This window comes from Homo sapiens, chromosome 6 (genome assembly GCF_000001405.40).
Source record: "Homo sapiens chromosome 6, GRCh38.p14 Primary Assembly".
Taxonomy (NCBI): Eukaryota; Metazoa; Chordata; class Mammalia; order Primates; family Hominidae; genus Homo; species Homo sapiens.
Window position 1 is genome coordinate 83010880 of NC_000006.12, and position 18565 is coordinate 83029444.

The 18565-nt window shown below is 39.2% G+C and overlaps 1 protein-coding gene across 17 annotated transcripts in view; it reads right to left on the reverse strand.

Annotated features, from left to right (window-relative positions):
• The window catches only part of UBE3D (ubiquitin protein ligase E3D), a 185040-nt gene that overhangs the window by 130078 nt on the left and 36397 nt on the right, over positions 1-18565 (reverse strand). For 11 of the 17 annotated variants that reach the window (XM_017011458.3, NM_001304437.2, NM_001350603.2 and 8 more), the window contains 3 exons: positions 13090-13159; positions 11574-11682; positions 8094-8257 (listed from right to left, as the gene is read on the reverse strand). In XM_017011458.3, coding sequence (XP_016866947.1) covers positions 8094-8257; positions 11574-11682; positions 13090-13159 — 343 coding nt within the window. Of the gene's footprint in view, positions 1-6298; positions 8258-11573; positions 11683-11789; positions 11945-13089; positions 13160-14878; positions 15001-18565 lie in introns of those variants that run through there. The other 6 variants (NR_146808.2, NR_146807.2, NR_146809.2 and 3 more) reach the window with 6 other exon arrangements.

Below are 18565 nucleotides of genomic sequence, written 5' to 3' on the forward strand. Positions count from 1 at the left end.
TCAAATGTTAATCTCCTTTGGCAACACCCTCATCGACACACCCAGAGTCAATACTTTGCATCCAGTCAAGTTTATACTTAGTATTAACCATCACAAGTCGACCCCTTGTCAACTTGAACCCATACACATCTCCTGAGATCATACATAATCTTCAAATAAAAACAATAATAAGGTCATAATTACGCCTAACATAATACAACTATCCTTCATACAACGGAAATGCACCAATCCCCAACCCTCTATTCCATAAAGTTAACAATACTTAAAAGCTGATATGAAGTCAATAAACTTTATCTCACATGATAAAGGAAAAAGGAAATAAGATGAAGATATTTTCTTAGTACAAGTGTATACATGCACAAACGTGTTTTTAACAAAAGGAGAAGGAAATACTCACGACACTTACATTCCTTGTTTCTGCAACTGGTCACCTGGTCGTAGCTGGTATTGATGACTACCTTCTTCTACTACCCAGCCTGTATTCCCTTTGCCTTCAGCAAGCACCTCAGCAGGTTGTGGTTTTTTTCCTGGTAGAATGAACCAAACCTTCATTCCTGAAGGGTCTGGGTCATTTCTAGTCCTGCCTGAATTGAGCTGTTGTAGTTTCCCATTGACCTTAATCACAGGGCAAGGTAATACTAAGAGATGCCCTAATGGATCTCCTGTATTTCATGCATACTCTTCCTTACTTCCATTGTGGAGTAGTAGACTGATTTCATCTTGACAGTCCAGGTCAATCACCCCGGCCAACACTGTTACTCCCTTCTTAGCCTGTTGACTTAAAGGTAGGAGGAGTCCAAAGTGTCCAAGTGGCAATCTTAACTTCCAGTTTAATGGAATCGTTGTTTTGTCTCCTCGTGGCAGCGTTGCTCCCACTGGAACTAAGACCTCTAGTCCAGTGGAAAGCAATGTTGTGGGAAGAGGAAGCAAAAATTTTGCTAGTGGATGGATCACTAGGGGTGATGGTGAATGGTGCCACTTCCACTTCCACCCCTCAATTCCTGGACCCGTGAATCCTAGCTATGGGAGAAACACTACCATATATTGGATGCTGATTCAGAGCATACACGGCCTTCTGGAGAACTTTGCCCCAGCCCTGCAAAGTATTGTTACCTACTTGCTGTTGTAATTATGACTTCAAAAGGCCATTCCACTGTTCTATGCTTCAGGATGATAGGGAACACAGTAAGATCAGTGAGTTTCATGAGCATGAGCCCACTGCTGCACTTCTTTAGCCATAAAGTGAGTGCCTTGGTCAGAGGCAATGCTGTGTGGAATACCATGATGGTGGATAAGGCATTCCGTGAGTCCACGGATGGGAGTCTTGCAGAAGCACTGTGTGTAGGATAGGCAAATCCATATCCAAAGTGTCTGTTCCACTGAGGACAAACCTCTGCCCTTTCCATGATGGAAGAGGTCCAATATAATCAACCTGACACCAAACAGCTGGCTGATCACCCCAAAAAATGGTGCCATATCAAGGGCTCAGTGTTGGTCTCTGCTGCTGGCAAATTGCGCGTTCAGCAGTGGCTATAGCCAGGTCAGCCTTGGTGAGTGAAAGTCCATGTTGCTGAGCCCGTGCATAAGGTCCATCCCTGCCACCATGGGCACTTTCTTCATGGACCTATTGGGCAATGACAGGGGTGGCTGGGGAAAGAGGCTGAGAATGAGTTGTCCTATCCACTTGATTATTAAAATCCTTCTCTGCTGAGGTCACTCGTTGGTAAGCTCTCACATGGGATACAAATATCTTCACAGTTTTTGACCACTCAGAGAGGTCATCCACATACCTCATCCCCTAATTTCTTTGTCACCAGTTTTCCAATCATGCTTCTTCCAAATGTCTGACCATGTCAAACCATTGGCTACAGCCCATGCATCAGTATATAATTGCACATCTGGCCATTTCTCCTTCCATCCAAGGTGTACTGCTCCAAGTTCTGCCCACTGGGAAAAGTTCCCTTCATTGCTGTCATTCAAGGATGTCCTAGAAAGGGGTTGTAGTGCTGTAGCTGTCCACTTTCAGGTGGTACCCGCATATCGTGCAGAACCATTTGTGAACTAGGCCCTAGTCTTCTCTTCCTCTGTCAACTGATCATAGGGAACTCCCCATGAGGCCACTGGTGTAGGCTGGGGAAGAGAAGGCAGGGTGGTAGGAATGGAGACCATGGGCATTTGAGCCACTTCCTCATGTAACTTACTTGTGCCTTCAGGACCTGCTCGAGCCCAATCATGCATATACCACTTCCATTTGATGACAGAATGCTGCTGTGCAGGACCACTTTATGGTTAGATGGGTCAAAAAGCACCCAGTTCATGATAGTCAGTTCAGGTCACATTGTGACTTGATGATTCATAGTCAAATATCCAGTTTTCACCAAAGCCCAGTAACAGGCTAAGACCTGTTTCTCAAAAGGAGAACAGTTATCTGCAGAAGATGGCAGGGCCTTACTCCAAAATCCTGATGCCTCCGCTAACAGCAGAGGCCCCCTTACGAGGGCCTGCCAAAGGCTCCAACAGCATCCCTAACTGCCAATGACATCTCTAGCACCATTGGATCTGCTGGGTTACATGGCCCAAGTGGCAGAGCAGCTTGCATAGCAGCCTGGACCTGTTGCAGAGCCTTCTCCTGTTCTGGACTCCACCCAAAACTGACAGCCTTTTGGGTAACTCAATAAATGGGCCAGAGTAACACACCCAAATGAGGGATGTGTTGCCTCCAAAATCTTACTAGGCCTACCAGGCGTTGTGCCTCTTTCTTGGTTGTAGGAGGGGCGAAATGCAGCAACTTTTCCTTCACCTTAGAAGGAATATCTCAACAGGCCCCACACCACTGGACCCCTGGAAATTTTACTGAGGTGTAAGTCCCCTGAATTTTAATCGGATTTATTTCCCATCCTCTGGCAGGCAAATCTCTCACCAATAAGTCCAGTGTGTTTGCTACTTCTTGATTACTGGATTCAATCAGCATAATGTCCTCAATGTAACAGACCAGTGTGATATCTTGCAGAAGGGAAGTGATCAGGGTCTCTCCAAATAGGATTATGACACAAAGACGGAGAGTTGATATACCCCTGAGGTAGGAAAATAAAGGTATATTGCTGGCCTTGCCAGCTGAAGGCAAATTGCTTCTGGTGGGACTTATGGACAGGAGTGGAGAAAAAGGCATTTGCCAAATCAATGACTGCATACCAAGTACCAGGAGATGTGTTAATTTGCTCAAGCAATGAAACCACATCTGGTACTGCAGTTGCAATTGGAGTCACCACTTTGTTAAACTTACAATAATCCACTGTCGTTCTCTAAGATCCATCTGTCTTCTGCACAGGCCAAATAAGAGAGTTGAACAGGGATGTGGTAGGAATCACCAACCCTGCATCTTTCAAGTCCTTGATGGTGGCACTAATTTCAGCAGTCCCTCCAGGGATGCAATATTAGTTTTGATTTACTATTTTTCTAGGTAGAGTCAGCTCTAATGGTTTCCATTTGGCCTTTCCCACCATTATGACCCTTGCCCTACAGTCAGGGAGCCAATGTGGGGGTTCTGCCAGTTGTTAAGTATGTCTATGCCAATTATGCATTCTGGCACTAGGGAAATGACCACAGGATGAGTCTAGGGACCCAATGGACCCACTGTAAGTCAGACCTGAGCTAAAACTCCATCAATTACCTGACCTCCATAAACCCCTATTTTAACTTGAGGACCACAATGATGTTTTGGGTCCCCTGGAATCAGCGTCAGCTCAGAGCCAGTGTCCAGTAGTCTCTGAAATGTCTGATCATTTCCCTATCCCCAGTGAACAGTTAGCCTGGTAAAAGGCTGGATTTCTCCTTGGGGAAGGATGGGACAAAGATTCACAGCATAAATTGTCAGTAGTGTAGAGGGGTCCTTCCTCAAGGGGACCCGGACTCCCCTTCATTCAAGGGGTTCTGGGTCTGTAAACTGGCTCAAGTCTGGAAATTGATTGAGGGACTGTGATTCTCTGCTTTTATAATTCAAATTAGTCTGGAAGTTCTCTGCTTATATAAATTAAGTAGGAATGCAGTAGGCTTCCTATCACTTCTAGGAACATCGTAATTAGCTAATGCCAGAGCTGGACACGAGTCAGATTATTCTGATTGCTGCTTTGCCTCTTCTGTCCATTACGGTAGTATGCCCACCTTGCCTTTGACAGCTGAGTGCCACAACTTGGCCACTGCCACCTCGGGATACAATTATTCCAATTGCATTTAAATTTTGTAGTTGAGTGACTGCAGTTCCCACTGTTAGATCTGATATACAGAGAAGGGCAATTACGGGGCTCTTCAAAGATGAAGGTGCTGCCTTCACAAATCTACTTCACAAAGCATTGGTCAAGGGTATATCTTCTGGAACCTCCCAGCTGGGATGAGTAGATCTAGAGAGACTAATCCACTCCACCATCCCAGTCTCCCTAAGCCTTTGGATCCCTTCCTCTACATTAAACCAAGAGAGATCAGGTATTTCCAGCTCACTCACAGTGGGCCATTTTTAATCCATATTTCAGCTAACCAAGCAAATAAACTATTAGAACCTTTTGTAACTCCCCAAACTGCAACATTAAAAGGAGAGTCCCTACTTAGTGGGCCCAAATCAATAAATTCAGGCTGATCCAACTCTATGTTCCTTCCACCATTATCCCACACCCTTAGTATCCATTCCCATGCCTGTTTTCCAGATTTCTGTTTATATACATTAGAAAACTCAAGCAGTTATTTTCGAGTGTAACGCACCTCCTCATAGGTCACACTCTCAACCTCACCTTTAGGGGCCTGCCAGGACTTTAGTCTAGTTATAGGTCTAGAAGCAAACAGAGGTATTGGGGGTGGCTCCTGAGAAGAATCAACATTATCTTGCCTGGCAACTGCCTCAGGGGAGGCCATAAGGGGAGGCCTGTTGCCTCAGGCAGTAAAGGGTGTATCTTCTCAGACAAAGGTGGAAAGGTTGATGACAGCATGGATTGGGGAGGGGACATTGCCACTACTGGGGGTAGGGAAGCTGTTTCTTCTGGCAAGAAAGTTTCATTGGAGTTTACAAGCTCAGTGTCCCCAGCTTCATCAGGGTCCTCCCACACGTCCCCATTCCAAGTTGCAGGGTCCCATTTTTTCCCAATTAATCCCTTCACTTTAACAGTAGATGCCTGGTGAGGCTGTGCATACACTTTTCATTGCAGGTCAGCCACTCACATGATAAAAGCTTTTGTCTGATTTTCCACAATTTCAACTCTTTCTCTACAGGAGATAAGATTCTCACTCAAGGCCATCTTAGCAGATTTGAGGCTTAGTATCTGTTTCTGAAGCTGGGAGTTAGAATCCCTGAGTTCATCATTTTCTTTCATCACTTTGTCCAGTGAACTTAGGAGCAACCAACCAACTTCATTATGTTCCTTAATACAGCCAAAGGCATTATGTATAGAGTTACTAAACTCCTTGCCTCTCATGAGCGGTGAATCAGGAGTGTCAAATGTATGTATTTTGCATAACTCTCTATACAGTTCATGCCAAGGACTATCAGCATTCTCCATGCTATCAGAAGTAGAGTCCTTAGCATTTTTGGATGTAATCATATTAAACAGCCAACTCCAGAAACCTCAAAACCAACAAAAGAACTCCATCCTTAATATTCTGTTCCTCTAGAACCACTCCTGGTACCAAAATCTGTATTAGTCAGGGCTCTCTAGAGGGACGGAACTAATAGGATATATAGACATATATATATGTAAATCTTTATATATATGCATATAAATCTTCATATATATAAAGCCATATATAAATCTTCATATATAAATATATAAATCTTCATATATATAAAGATATGTATAATATAAAAGATCATATTAACTCACACAATCTCAAGGTCCCACAATAGGCCATCTATAAGCTGAGGAGCAAGGAAGCCAGTCCAAATCCCAAAGCTGAAGAACTTGGAGTCCAATGTTCAAGGGCAAGAAGCATCCAGCACTGGAGAAAGATGTAGGCTGGGAGGCTAAGCCAATCTAGTCTTTTCATGTTTTTCTGCCTGCTTTATATTCCAGCCATGCTGGCAGCTGATTAGATGGTGCCCACCCAGATTAAGGGTGGGTCTGCCTTTCCCAGCCCACTGACTCAAATGTTAATCTCCTTTGGCAACACCCTCATAGACACACCCAGGACCAATACTTTGTATCCTTCAATCTAATCAAGTTGATGCTTAGTATTAACCATCACAGCAAATTAGAATGAAATAAAAACTAGCATTAAATTGAAGAAGAGCAAAATCTCCTATTGATAATATATTCAATTCATTGTCATGCCACAAACTTTTATTCCTCTAATAACACAGCTTTAAAATACATAATGTGAAAACTAGTATCAAAACAGAAGAAAATTACTTACATAATCATAATATAAGATTCAACATACCTGTCACAAAAGTCCACATTTTAATAAACAGAAAAGATGAATATAAAGGGTTTTAATAAATTTGATGATATAAACCTAAATATATAAAGATACACACAAACACATACATCAAAAGAGAATATAATCAATGTACAGCTTACTAGTTGACTATGCATAAGGGCACACACACAAAAAAAAACCCAAGCCCTCAAAAAGAGTCTCAAAAGCATAAAACTGAGATGCATCCATTGAACATGTCTCAATAAAATATAAGGATAGTGTCAAGTAAACCTGTTTCCTTTAGAATCACATCAGATAGGCAAAAATCTAAATGGAAATTTGGGTGAGAGTGCAGGGTAATGGACATTTATAAAAACTTCAGGTGGGAATATAAATTCATGATGCCTTTTTACAAAATACTTTGATATTACCTCTCAAAATTTTAAATGTCCATACCCTTTGACTCAACAATTGTACCTCTAGAAATTCCTCTAATATAAAAAACTTATAATCAGAAAACAAACATACAAGATCACAACACTAATTATAACAGCAAAAAAGTAATAAACCAAATATCCATTAAAAGAAAACTGGCTAAATAATTTATAGTACCTCCATTTCATAAAATGTCAAGCACTCACAATGGAAAGAATCTCTAAGACATGGGCTTTTTTTAAGTGTAAAAAATACACATGTTTAGGTGCAAAATGAACAGAAAAGGAAGTGGAAGAGTAGACAACAAACGTTTTACTTCTGGAGCGGGATATAATTTTACCTTGTATATATCTCTTAGTGTTTGAATATTTTATGACTGGTACTACTTGCATAAGAAACCTAATTAATTTTTTCAATGTCTTATTTACTTTCCAGAAAAAGACTAAGACCCTTCCGTTCTTAGGATAAATTTGATCAAACCCATCTAAGAGTACAGGACAAGTACAAACTTTGATTCTGTTACAATTAAAATAACCTGCTGTTTCCTTTTCTGGGAATGATCTTCCATCAGATATGGCTCACCACTTCACTTCCTTCAAGTTACCTGCTTAAATATCACCTTATCTAAAGAATCTTCCCTGACTTTGCAATATAAAATGACATCCTACTCCCATCCTACCCCTCGCCAACTACCTTACCTTGCTTCATTTTTCACTAGAGTGATTTACTACCAGTGTCTTAGTGTGCTTATCTTTAAAGTGGGGATGATAATGGTACATACCACACAGGTTGTTGTTAGGCTTAAATGAGCTACGAGTTCTTAGATGAGTGCCTGACACATAGTAAGAGACGTAAGAATCTGTTTTGTTTATGGTCTGCCTTCCCCCTATTAGAACAACAATGCTAAGAGGTAGGGGCTGGGGTTTGTTCATTATTGTATCCTGATGCCTGGAAAGTGCTTATTGGTAAATATTCATCACTGTTGAAGTCTGATTTAGCACTGCAGCCATATGTACAGACAGCTTAGATTACAAGAAAAAAACAATAATTTTTGGTAAAAGCAAGCTTTCTGCATATTAACATGAATCATCTGTAATAATTCAACCTATTTTAAACATATAATATTTAGCAGTATTGGCTCCTAGAAGCTTCAAGTAGGGAAATGGTATAGTGGCATTTAATTCATTAATTTCTTAACACCAACATGACAACAAAAGCTAAAACATAATGTGGAAAGAGAAAACAAATGCACAACTTACTTTTCATTCCTGCTTTTGATGCATGGCTGGTAGAGGACCTTGACAGCACTCCAGGCAGAACTAGAATCGGCTTTGAATGTGTTTTCCAACAAGGGGAATTTTTTGATATATTTGGAATTTCTCAAAGATTCAATCACCAAACTGTCTGAATTTAAAAGCCATAGCTAAAGATGTGAAGAGAAAGTCCAAGTATAAGAATATTGTCACCTTATCCATATCTTATGACTTTTCAAAAACAAAAAAGAGACTATGAAAATACCAGAAAAAATAAATATGAGAATCATGTACATAATTTTAAAGTTGGGTAGGCCTTTCAAAACATAACTCTCGGTAGAGCAACTGACATAAAGTTAAAAAAAAAAAAAGACAACTGACTCGGAGAAAATATGCATAAGTAACAAAGTTATTATCCATAATATACAGAGCTTCAGTAAGGGGGTAAAACAGCCCAAGAGAAATACAGGCAAAGAATATGAACAGAATTAACAGAAGAAATAAATGATAAATAAACATATATTAGAATCTTAATGTAACTAATAAATGTAAAATTTTGTGCCACCATTTTTCATTTACCAGATTGGCAAATATAAAAGTACTGATAACATCTAGTTCAGAAAAGGGGTTTGAAGTGGGCATTCCAATACACTGCTGGTGGGAGAGTGTTTTGGGATTTGGATGCATGTGATTCACTGAGGGAAAACTCACAGGAGAAAGGAAGTGAAGGAAATGGGATAAGGCAGGGGAAAGAGCTAGTTAAGGATATAGAATCATCTGGAGTCTGGTTTCAGCCTGATCCATGGGGGAGTTCTACAGCATGAATCCCACCTACAGAGTTTGTTCTACCTTGAGACAAGAGTCCCTAGCTTTCTGTGCCCCAGGATCAAATCACTGGCAGCGGGCTGACCAAGAAGGGGTGAGTCAGGGAGGGACTGTGGCGGACAGGTAACTTCTGGGCAAGGCAACACCTGTCATCTAAAGAGGAAGTCTGTGGAGAAGCGGGCAGCTGTGAGCCATTATCAGCCAACGCTGTCAGCAGCTGGGAATGGGTGCATCAACCCAGTATGGGGTCTGGGTGGCACACCAAGAATGCCCACTATAAAAGATAAATTAGTACAACTTTTTTGCAAGGTGATAATTATCTGAGTTTCAAATATACAAATTCTTATATTACATTAGAAAGATCCATTTCTAAAGAAGTACTAAAAGACACAGGCAAAGATTATTTTCATTGCAGTTCAGTCTTATCAGCCATACAGCAAAATTCCAGTCATTAAAGAGCCAGACCTATATTTAAACTAATAAAAACAATCCTCATGATACATACTGTGAAGCAAGCAGGTTGCAGAAAAACGCTAATCATGTGATACTGTTTTTTTTTTTTTTTTTACAAATAGACAAACACCTGTGAGTGTACATATATATAGTTGTATATGGAAAGAATAAAAATAATGAAGTACACATATCAGACTGTTAATACTGATTGCTCCCTGAATAGTATGATATAGCAAGGCAGGAAAGGGAACACTTTATGTTCTTCATGTTCCCTGATTGTGTTTCAAGAATGTTTTACTTTTATAAAAAAGAAAAATCTAAATATATGTTAGAAAGTTTCAGAAGTTCCTACTCCCGATCTTCAATCTGAAATCTTACAATAAAAGAAAAAGTAAAACTGATTTCAGAAAACTGTGAGGTATATTTACTATCAAAATCAGTCAGAAAATATTTTAGGTTTTCATGGAAATTATCTGCAATTAGAAAAGCATAGTGTCCCCATAATGGATGGCCAGCTACAGAGTCACACCTAACAGCAACTTCAGGCCCTTCCCTCCTTTTTGTTACTATGTTTCCCTATTAGCTTTTTAGTCTCATGAAGGCATTTGTGTTCTACCTTGAGCACCTGGAACAGTGTCTTTCATATAAGAAGTGCTCCATACCTGTTTACTGGTTGAATAAAATAGATGTAGAAGCAGAGAAGATACTTGGGCTATGATTCTTGACTATCCAGATAAATGCTCAAAATTTGCTTCTGCAGGACACTGTTTTTCAGAGGTAGTGTAATATTAGGCTCTAGTGGTACATGCTGGGATGATTGCTAGCCACAGAGCCTCTTCCTCAAAAATTGCCACTGTTTCTCAAATATCACAGAATCAGAGGCAATTAAAAACAACAGAAGAAGGCCAGGCATGGTGGCTCATGCCTGTAATCCCACTATAATCCCAACAGTTTGGGAGGCCAAAGTGGGAGGATTACTTCAGCCCAGGAGTTTGAGACCAACCTGGGCAACATAGCAAGACCTCGTCTTCACAAAAAATTTAAAAATTGTCTGGGAATGGTGGAGTAGGCCTGGAGTCTCAGCTATTCAGAAGGCTGAGGTGGGAGGATCACTTTAGCCTGGGAAGTCGAGGCTATGGTTAAGTCATAATCATGCCATTGCACTCCAGCCTGTGTGATAGAGTAAGACCTTGTCTCAAAAAAACAAAAAACAAACAGGAGCAATAGGACATATTCTAAACATAAGAGTACTAAATAGGAAAAAAAAAAAAGTGGGACAGAATAGTGTTATAGTGACCCCAAAAAAGCCATTACAAACTGAGAGTAAAAAACTTGATTTTGGCTGGGCGTGGTGGCTCATGCCTGTAATCCCAGCATTTTGGGAGGCCGAGGTGGGTGGATCACGAGGTCAGGAGATCGAGACCATCCTGGCTAACATGGTGAAACCCCGTCTCTACTAAAAAAATACAAAAAAATTAGCCGGGCGTGGTGGCGGGCGCCTGTAGTCCCACCTACTCGGGAGACTGGGGCAGAAGAATGGCATGAACCCAGGAGGCTGAGCTTGCAGTGAGCTGAGATCACGCCACTGCACTCCAGTCTGAGCGACAGAGTGATACTCCATCTCAAAAAAAAAACAAAAAACAAAAAAACCCTGATTTTGTGGTATGAGCTTCTAAATAGCAGGAATCAGGATTTTTCTCTGTATCCGTAGTACCTAGTACATAGAGGCACTTGATCATCTGTTATTAAAATAAAGGAGTTTGATTTATGAATTAAACTGATATTAACTTTTTTTTTTTTAAGATGGAGTCTTGCTCTGTCACCCAGGCTTGAGTGCAGCGGCACCATCTTGGCTCAATGCAACCTCCACCTCCTGAGTTCAAGCGATTCTCCTGCCACAGCTTCCTGAGTAGCTGAGACTACAGGCATGGGCCACCATGTCAGGCTAATTTTTGTATTTTTAGTAGAGATGGGGTTTCCCCATGTTGGCCAGGCTGGTCTCGAACTCCTGACCTCAAGTGATCCACCCACCTTGGCCTCCCAAAGTGCTGGGATTTCAGGCATAAGCCACCGTGCCCAGCCTGATATTAACATTTTTAATCACTTATTTTCCACACCTGAGAATTAAGAAAAAAGGATGAAAAAACTGAAGAATTCTGAGACCTTGGATTCCTAGGCTACAAAAAGCTGGATAAAATAATTTCTTACCAAGATATACACTTTGTCATCCTGACCTTGAATCGTGAATCTAAAAGTGCTTCTAGCAGAGGAGAGCTGCACCAGACACTGGGCGATCACGCTCTGGACAAACCAAGACCTGTTTGAACAGAAATCAATTTTTACAATGTGTATCTCATAATAACTCTAACTGGCAAGATAAGCAAAAAATACACACACGGTACCTAAAAGGCAGACATATCCACATGCCAGACTTTTCTACGGACTGCTCATTCCCTCAGAATCTGCACTGATGTGGATTTTAATATATTTTAATGTATTCAGGTTTGCTCCATTCTTCTTAAAACCTATTCTCCAATCCTTGATACACTTTCCACACCAAACCTAACTATTCACCCCTACTGAATAAAAAAATACCATGTTAGAACAAGTCAATACTCCATTTGTGCTGTAGCATATTAAACAGAGAATAACTAACTTACAAAAGAAGGCAAGAAATTTCCTTCCAAACATCAGACAGTATTGTCTACATTTTCTTCCATTTGGATCTCCCTAAAGTGTCAGCTCTGAGGTACAGAATCAAAGTATTTACATAAGGATAAGTTCAAGGCTATACTCAAAGATTGCTATAATTTTTGGATATCAACAAATAAACTGGAATAAAGACATATCATGGTTAACTTGTTTGCAAACTAAAGAGTCAAAGAAATAAAAACACTAATAGATTTAGTGACTAAGTACCATGTTTTTAAAACATAGGAGTCATTTGAAACTGACCCATGTTTCAAATTTTAAATAATTCAAATTAAAACCAGAAATTATTCAAAAAACTTATTGGTGACTGGGTGATAAGATTCTAGATATCTGGCACATAGAAATAAGCATAGAAAACTTTCAGAATTAGAAGATTTATAAGAGCACATTTGTCTACAGCACTATATGATCAAAACATTTTTTAAAATCCTCAAAACTTTTATATGTGTGGTTTGGTTCAACTATCAAAAAGGCTTTCTCTTTCCTTTTCCAAATAAAGAAAGGTATGAATAAAAATGAATTCCCATATGATCAATTGTACTTCCTTTTTCCTACATTTGGAATTACAAATATATGCCATGGAATACTACTTAGCCACAAAAAGGAACGAAATAATGGCATTCACAGCATCCTGGATGTAACTGGAGACTATTATTCTAAGTGAAGTAACTCAGGAATGGAAAACCAAACATCGTATGTTCTCCTTCATAAGTGGGAACGAAGCTATGAGGATGCAAAGGCATAAGAATAATACAATGGACTTTGAGGACTTGGAGAAAAGGCAGGGGGAGGGGTAAGAGATAAAAGACTACACTTGAGTACAGTGAACAGTGCTTGTGTGATGGATGCACCCAAATCTCAGAAATTATCACTATTCATGTAAGCAAACATCATCTGTTCCCAAAAACCTATTAAAATAAAAAATAAATTCAAAACCAAAAAATAAAAAATAAAGGTCTGAATGGGGAAAAAAATAAATTACAAATAAATAAATGTAATTTGCTATTTGTACCTTGGTATGATAGGAAAACTCCTCTCAGATGACTGAATAATTATCTCTGTCATATAAAACTTGGTGGTTTCTAGAAACAAAAAAGAAAATTAAGACTCTCCCCAATACACTAATAATTTTATTGTGGGCAAGTTGACTCCAAATTAGGATATTCCAAACTAAATATTAAATATACTGGTAAAATTAATATTCTGTAAACATTTTCCCAAAACTACTTAGTTTCAGAAGACAAAGCATTGGTCACTACAAGGAGATAGTTCTGAAGCTTCTGTGTCTTTTTAGAAAATAATGCCCAGAGACTCTGCTTACACATATGGAAGATTATAAAAGTTAGTCACATCACAGGCATAGTGCACTTAGATAGAAATTAGTCACTGGGTTTCCTCAATTCTACAGAATAGCTACAAACCTGTAAGTCAATGAAAAAGACTTCTGGTTTGTTTTTGGTTTTGATGTACTATTTTCCCAGATAAAGGCAGTTCTAATGGCTTCCACTTGGTCTTTTCTACCATAATAGCCTCAATACACACTTTGGGGAACTAACGTGGGGATTCTGCCAGCTGCTAAGTGTGTTAATTTGAGTTAAGCACTCTGGAATTCGGGAATAATCACAGGAAGCATTCAGGGATCCACTGGACCCACCGTGAGATGGACCTGAGTTAAAACTCTATTGATCACCTGACCCCATCCCCTACTCTAATTGGAAGGCCACAGTGATGTTTTGGGTCTTCTAGAATTGGTGTTCATTTAGAACCAGTGTCCAGCAGTCCCTAAAAGGTGTGATTATTTCCTTTTCCCCAGTGCGCATGGGGAACTGTTACCCTGAGAAAGGCCATGGTTCCCTTTGTGGAAGCCTGGGAGAAAGATTAACGGTATAAATTTCAGGTAGCATCGTTTTTCGTTGAGGGCATCTGTCCTCTCCTTCATTCAAGGGGTCCTGGGCCTACAAAGGCTCAAGTGTGAGAATTGATTGAGGGGCCAGGACTCTCTGTTTTTATGATTCAAGCTCGACTTTTATTCACTTGACATAGAACTTTCTTATACAAATCAAGTAAGATTTTAGCAGGCTTGCTATCTAATTCACTTCTAGACAACACCATGATCAACTAGCAAACATCATATAACTGAATAACTCAGATTATTCCAATTGTTGCCTTGCTTTCTGTCCATTACACTAACCACACCTACCTTGCCTTTGATGTTCCAGTGCTCCTACCTGAAAAGGGGTTTTTAATCACAGCATCCCAAAACACAGATGCGGTGAACCTCACATTAGAATCTACCCAGAATCTCAATGACTCTATTGATATACAATTCTCACTAAATCTGGTTATCTGATTGCTTACAGAAAAATTTAAATAGAAATTTAATAGACATAAATGTAAACACAATCATCTTGGAGTTCTAAAAAAATCTAAGAAAAAGTTTAATCTCACTAACGATGAAGAAAATGTACATCAAAATAAGATTTTTTTTTTTTGCATCAAACAAAATATTTTAAAATGATAAGGTGTACTGCTGGATACGCTTATTTATATAGATGGATATGCTTATTCACACACTGCTGTGAGAACAGAAAATGACAGACTTCCGGAAAGCCACTTGGCAAAGGCCTTAAAATTGTATATGTAGGGCTGGGTGCAGTGACTCACGCCTGTAATCCCAGCACTTTGGGAGGCTGAGGCGAGCAGATCACCTGGGGTCAGGCGTTTGAGACCAGCCTGGCCAACATGGTGAAACCCTGTCTCTACTAAAAATACAAAAATTAGCTGGGCGCAGTGACTCCCACCTGTAGTCCCAGCTACTCGGGAGGGTGAGGCAGGATAATTGCTTGAAACCAGGAGGCAGATGTTGCAGTGAGCCGAGATCGTGCCACTGCACTCCAGCCTGGGCGACAGAACGTGACTCCATCTTAAAAAAAAAAAAAAAAAAAAAAAGAAAAATTGTGTATGTATTGTGGCACCATAATTAAACATATAAGAATTTATTTCAAAAAAATACTCACTGGTATATGAAAACACTTATCTATAGTGATACTCATAATATCAATAGAAAAATACTGAAAACAAATGTCTAAAAATTGAGGATGGGTTAAATATTCAGGCAACATAACTGCATGCATGTTTCAAATTTTAAATAGGTCAAATTCAAACCAGAAATAATTAAAAATGAGGCTGTCATTAAAAATGGTGGTGTTGCCCAGGTACAGTGGCTCATACTTAATCCCAGCACTTTGGAAGGCCAAGGCAGGACGATCACTTCAAGCCCAGGAGTTTGAGACCATTCTGGACAACAAAGTGACAGCCTGTCTCTACAAAAAATTCTTTTAAAAATTAGCCAGGCAGAGTGGCATGTGCCTGTAGTTCCAGCTACTCGGGAGGCTGAGGCAAGAGGACTGTTTGAGCCCAGAAGTCTGAGGCTTCAATGAACTACTGCGCTCCAGCCTGAGAGACAGAGTAAGATCCCATCTCTTAAAAAATAAAATAAAATAGTGTTGTCAAACAACTTTTAATAAGACAAAGTTATTTTTTGAAAAAGTGTGTAATTGCTCAATATTACACACAGAAAGGTAAAAAAAATAAATGGTTTCATAGATTAATATATAGACAGCCATGACAGATTTACCCATTTATCATTGAAGATGTGTCAATATTTACTATTTTGAAATCGTTATTACACGCAGGACTAAACTAAACCTTTTTAACTTTATGAAATGCCTATGTATTTATTTATTTACTTATTTAAGACAGGGTCTTGCCCTGTTGCCCAATTAGGGTGCAGTGGTGTGATCACAGCTCACTGTACCTCGAACCCCTGGGCTTAAGTGATCCTTCCGCATCAGCCTCCTGAGTAGCTAGCACTACAGGCATGCACCACTATGCCCAGTTAATTTTTTGTAGAGACCAGGTTTCACTATGTTGCCTAGGCCGGTCTCAAGGGATCCTCTCATCTCCGCCTCCCAAAGCAGAAGTGACCCTTTTTATTTCATGTGTTGTTAATCTAAAATTTAATTATATTATTTTAATCCCACAAGTATTATTTCTATTGTTTTATAGTTAATATTCATTTAAGTGTTATGTGAATATTCACGATTTTATCAACCCTTATTGAACTTAGATCTTCTATGTGGGATCATTTTCTTCTACCTGAGTACAGGTACAATTTCTTTTCATAAGAAACCACTATGGGCTGGGCGCAGTGGCTCACGCCTGTAATCCCAGCACTTTGGGAGGCTGAGGCGGGAGGATCACAAGGTCAGGAGTTCAAGACCAGCCTGGCCAACATGGTAAAACCCCATCTCTACTAAAAATACAAAAATTAGCCGGGCGTGGAGGTGCATGTGTGTAATCCCAGCTACTTGGAAGGCTGAGGCAGGAGAATCGCTTGAACCCAGGAGGCGGAGGTTGCAGTGAGCCAAGACCGCACCACTGTGCTCCAGCCTGGCGACAGAGCGAGACTCCGTCTCAAAAAAAAAAAAAAAAAAAAAAAAAAAGAAACCACTAGTATTGAATTAACCTAGATTAACCTAGTTTGTGTTTGTCAGAAAACATATTTATCTTAGCCTTAATTCTTGAAGGAAATTTTCACTTGAGATTAAGTCCTAGGATCAACAGTTATTTGCACACATTGGCAATATTGTTCTACCGTCTTCAGACTTCCATTACTGCTGTTCCTTTGAAGGCACTCTGTCATTTTTTCTTTAGCTGCATTTAAGATTATCTTCACTTTTTATTCTACAGTATTACTCGCATGTGTCTAAGTATGGATTTCTTTTTATTTTTCTTGCTAGGGCTTTGCCGAATTGGAATTCACTGGGTCCCTTGAATCTATAGATTGCTATTCTTCATCACTTTTGTAAAATTCTCAACAATTATCTCTTCAAATATTGCCCATGCTCCATTCTTTTCCTCCTGGAAGTCTGATTAAACATACATCAGATAGTCTGTTCTACGTCTCTTACTCTCTCTTCTATATTTTTTGCCTTTTGTCTCTCTGTGCTACACAGCAGGTTTTTCTTGTCATCTATCTTTTGCTCGTTAATTCTCTCTTCAAGTTGTATCTAATCTGGTGTTAAACCACTGGCTGAGTTTTTAATATCAATTATAACACTTTTTAAGAAATTTTATTGTATAAATTTATTGTTTAATTTATATAACTTACTGTTATAGTTTCCTTTTCCTTTCAGCTACCTTCACACCTTTCATTTTGCTAAATATGCTAAGCATGGTTGTTTTACAGTTTACACACAATTCCAATAAGAAGTCTATTTGATTTAATTCTTGTTGGTGGAAGTCTAGTTTACTTGTGTGCCTATTTATCTTTGGTTGCATGGTGAATACTATACCTAAAAAATTATTTGTGAGAATGAGTTTTACAATGAAGATATTTCCTTACAAAGGTGATTTTGCCAGGCACCTGGCAAATGTCTAGAACAAGGTGAAATAAACAAAGTTCAAGACTTGAAATTCCCTCAAGTCCCAAAGGATTGATCTCTGTCTACAATTCCACAGGGCTGTTCTATTTCCAATTCACCCTCACTGTGAGGGCACAACATTTAGCGTCTCCTATTTTTGTGAGGTTCTCCTCTTGAGTAGTCTCTCATTTTTGTCCTTCTCGAAACTAAAGTTCTAATTTTAGAGAATGGGCAAACTGCAAAGAAAATGTGGCTTGAATTTTGTGCTTACCTCTTTTGAGTCTGCTTTTCTGGTAATTTACCCACATTATTTTCCATTTTCCCTGATTTTTATTCCTTCCTGTAGTTTCCAGTTACCATCTGGTATCTTTCGTGTCAGCCTGAAGAACTTCCTTTATCATTTCTTGTACAGCAGGTACGATAGGAATCCATTATTTCCATGTATTTATTTGGAAACATCCTTATTTTGCCTTCATTTTTGAGTGATAGTTATGCTAGATACAGTACTGTTGGTTGTCACATCTTTTTCCCCCCAGCACTTCACATATCTTATTTCAGTGTCTTTTGGTTGTCATTATTTCTATTAGAAGTTCACCTTAATTGTATTAGGAAATCTCTTACATATGAGGTTTTGTTTTTCTCTTTTTACTTTAAAGATTCTCTCTTAATCTTTCAACAGATTGACGACAACATGCCTGAGTGAAGTGTTTTTGTGTTTATCCTACTACAGGTTCATTGAAATTCTTAGATCTGAAAGCCAATATTTTTAAAATAATTTGCCAAGTTTTCAGCCAGTTTTTTGTATAAATTTTTTTTCTGACCCTTTCAATTTCTCTTCATTATTTGAGACCCTATTTACACATTTGTTGGAACACCTGATATTGTCCCACAAACTGGAAGTTCTGTTCATTTTGTTTTAGACTTTTTTTGTTTGGTTAATTTGGATTAATCTGTAAGTTCAATAATTTTTTTTATCTTTTGTCATCTCAGATCTGTGCTTTAGATCATCTAGTGAATTTTTCTTTACGGTTACAGTACATTTTAATTCTAGAATTACCAAAT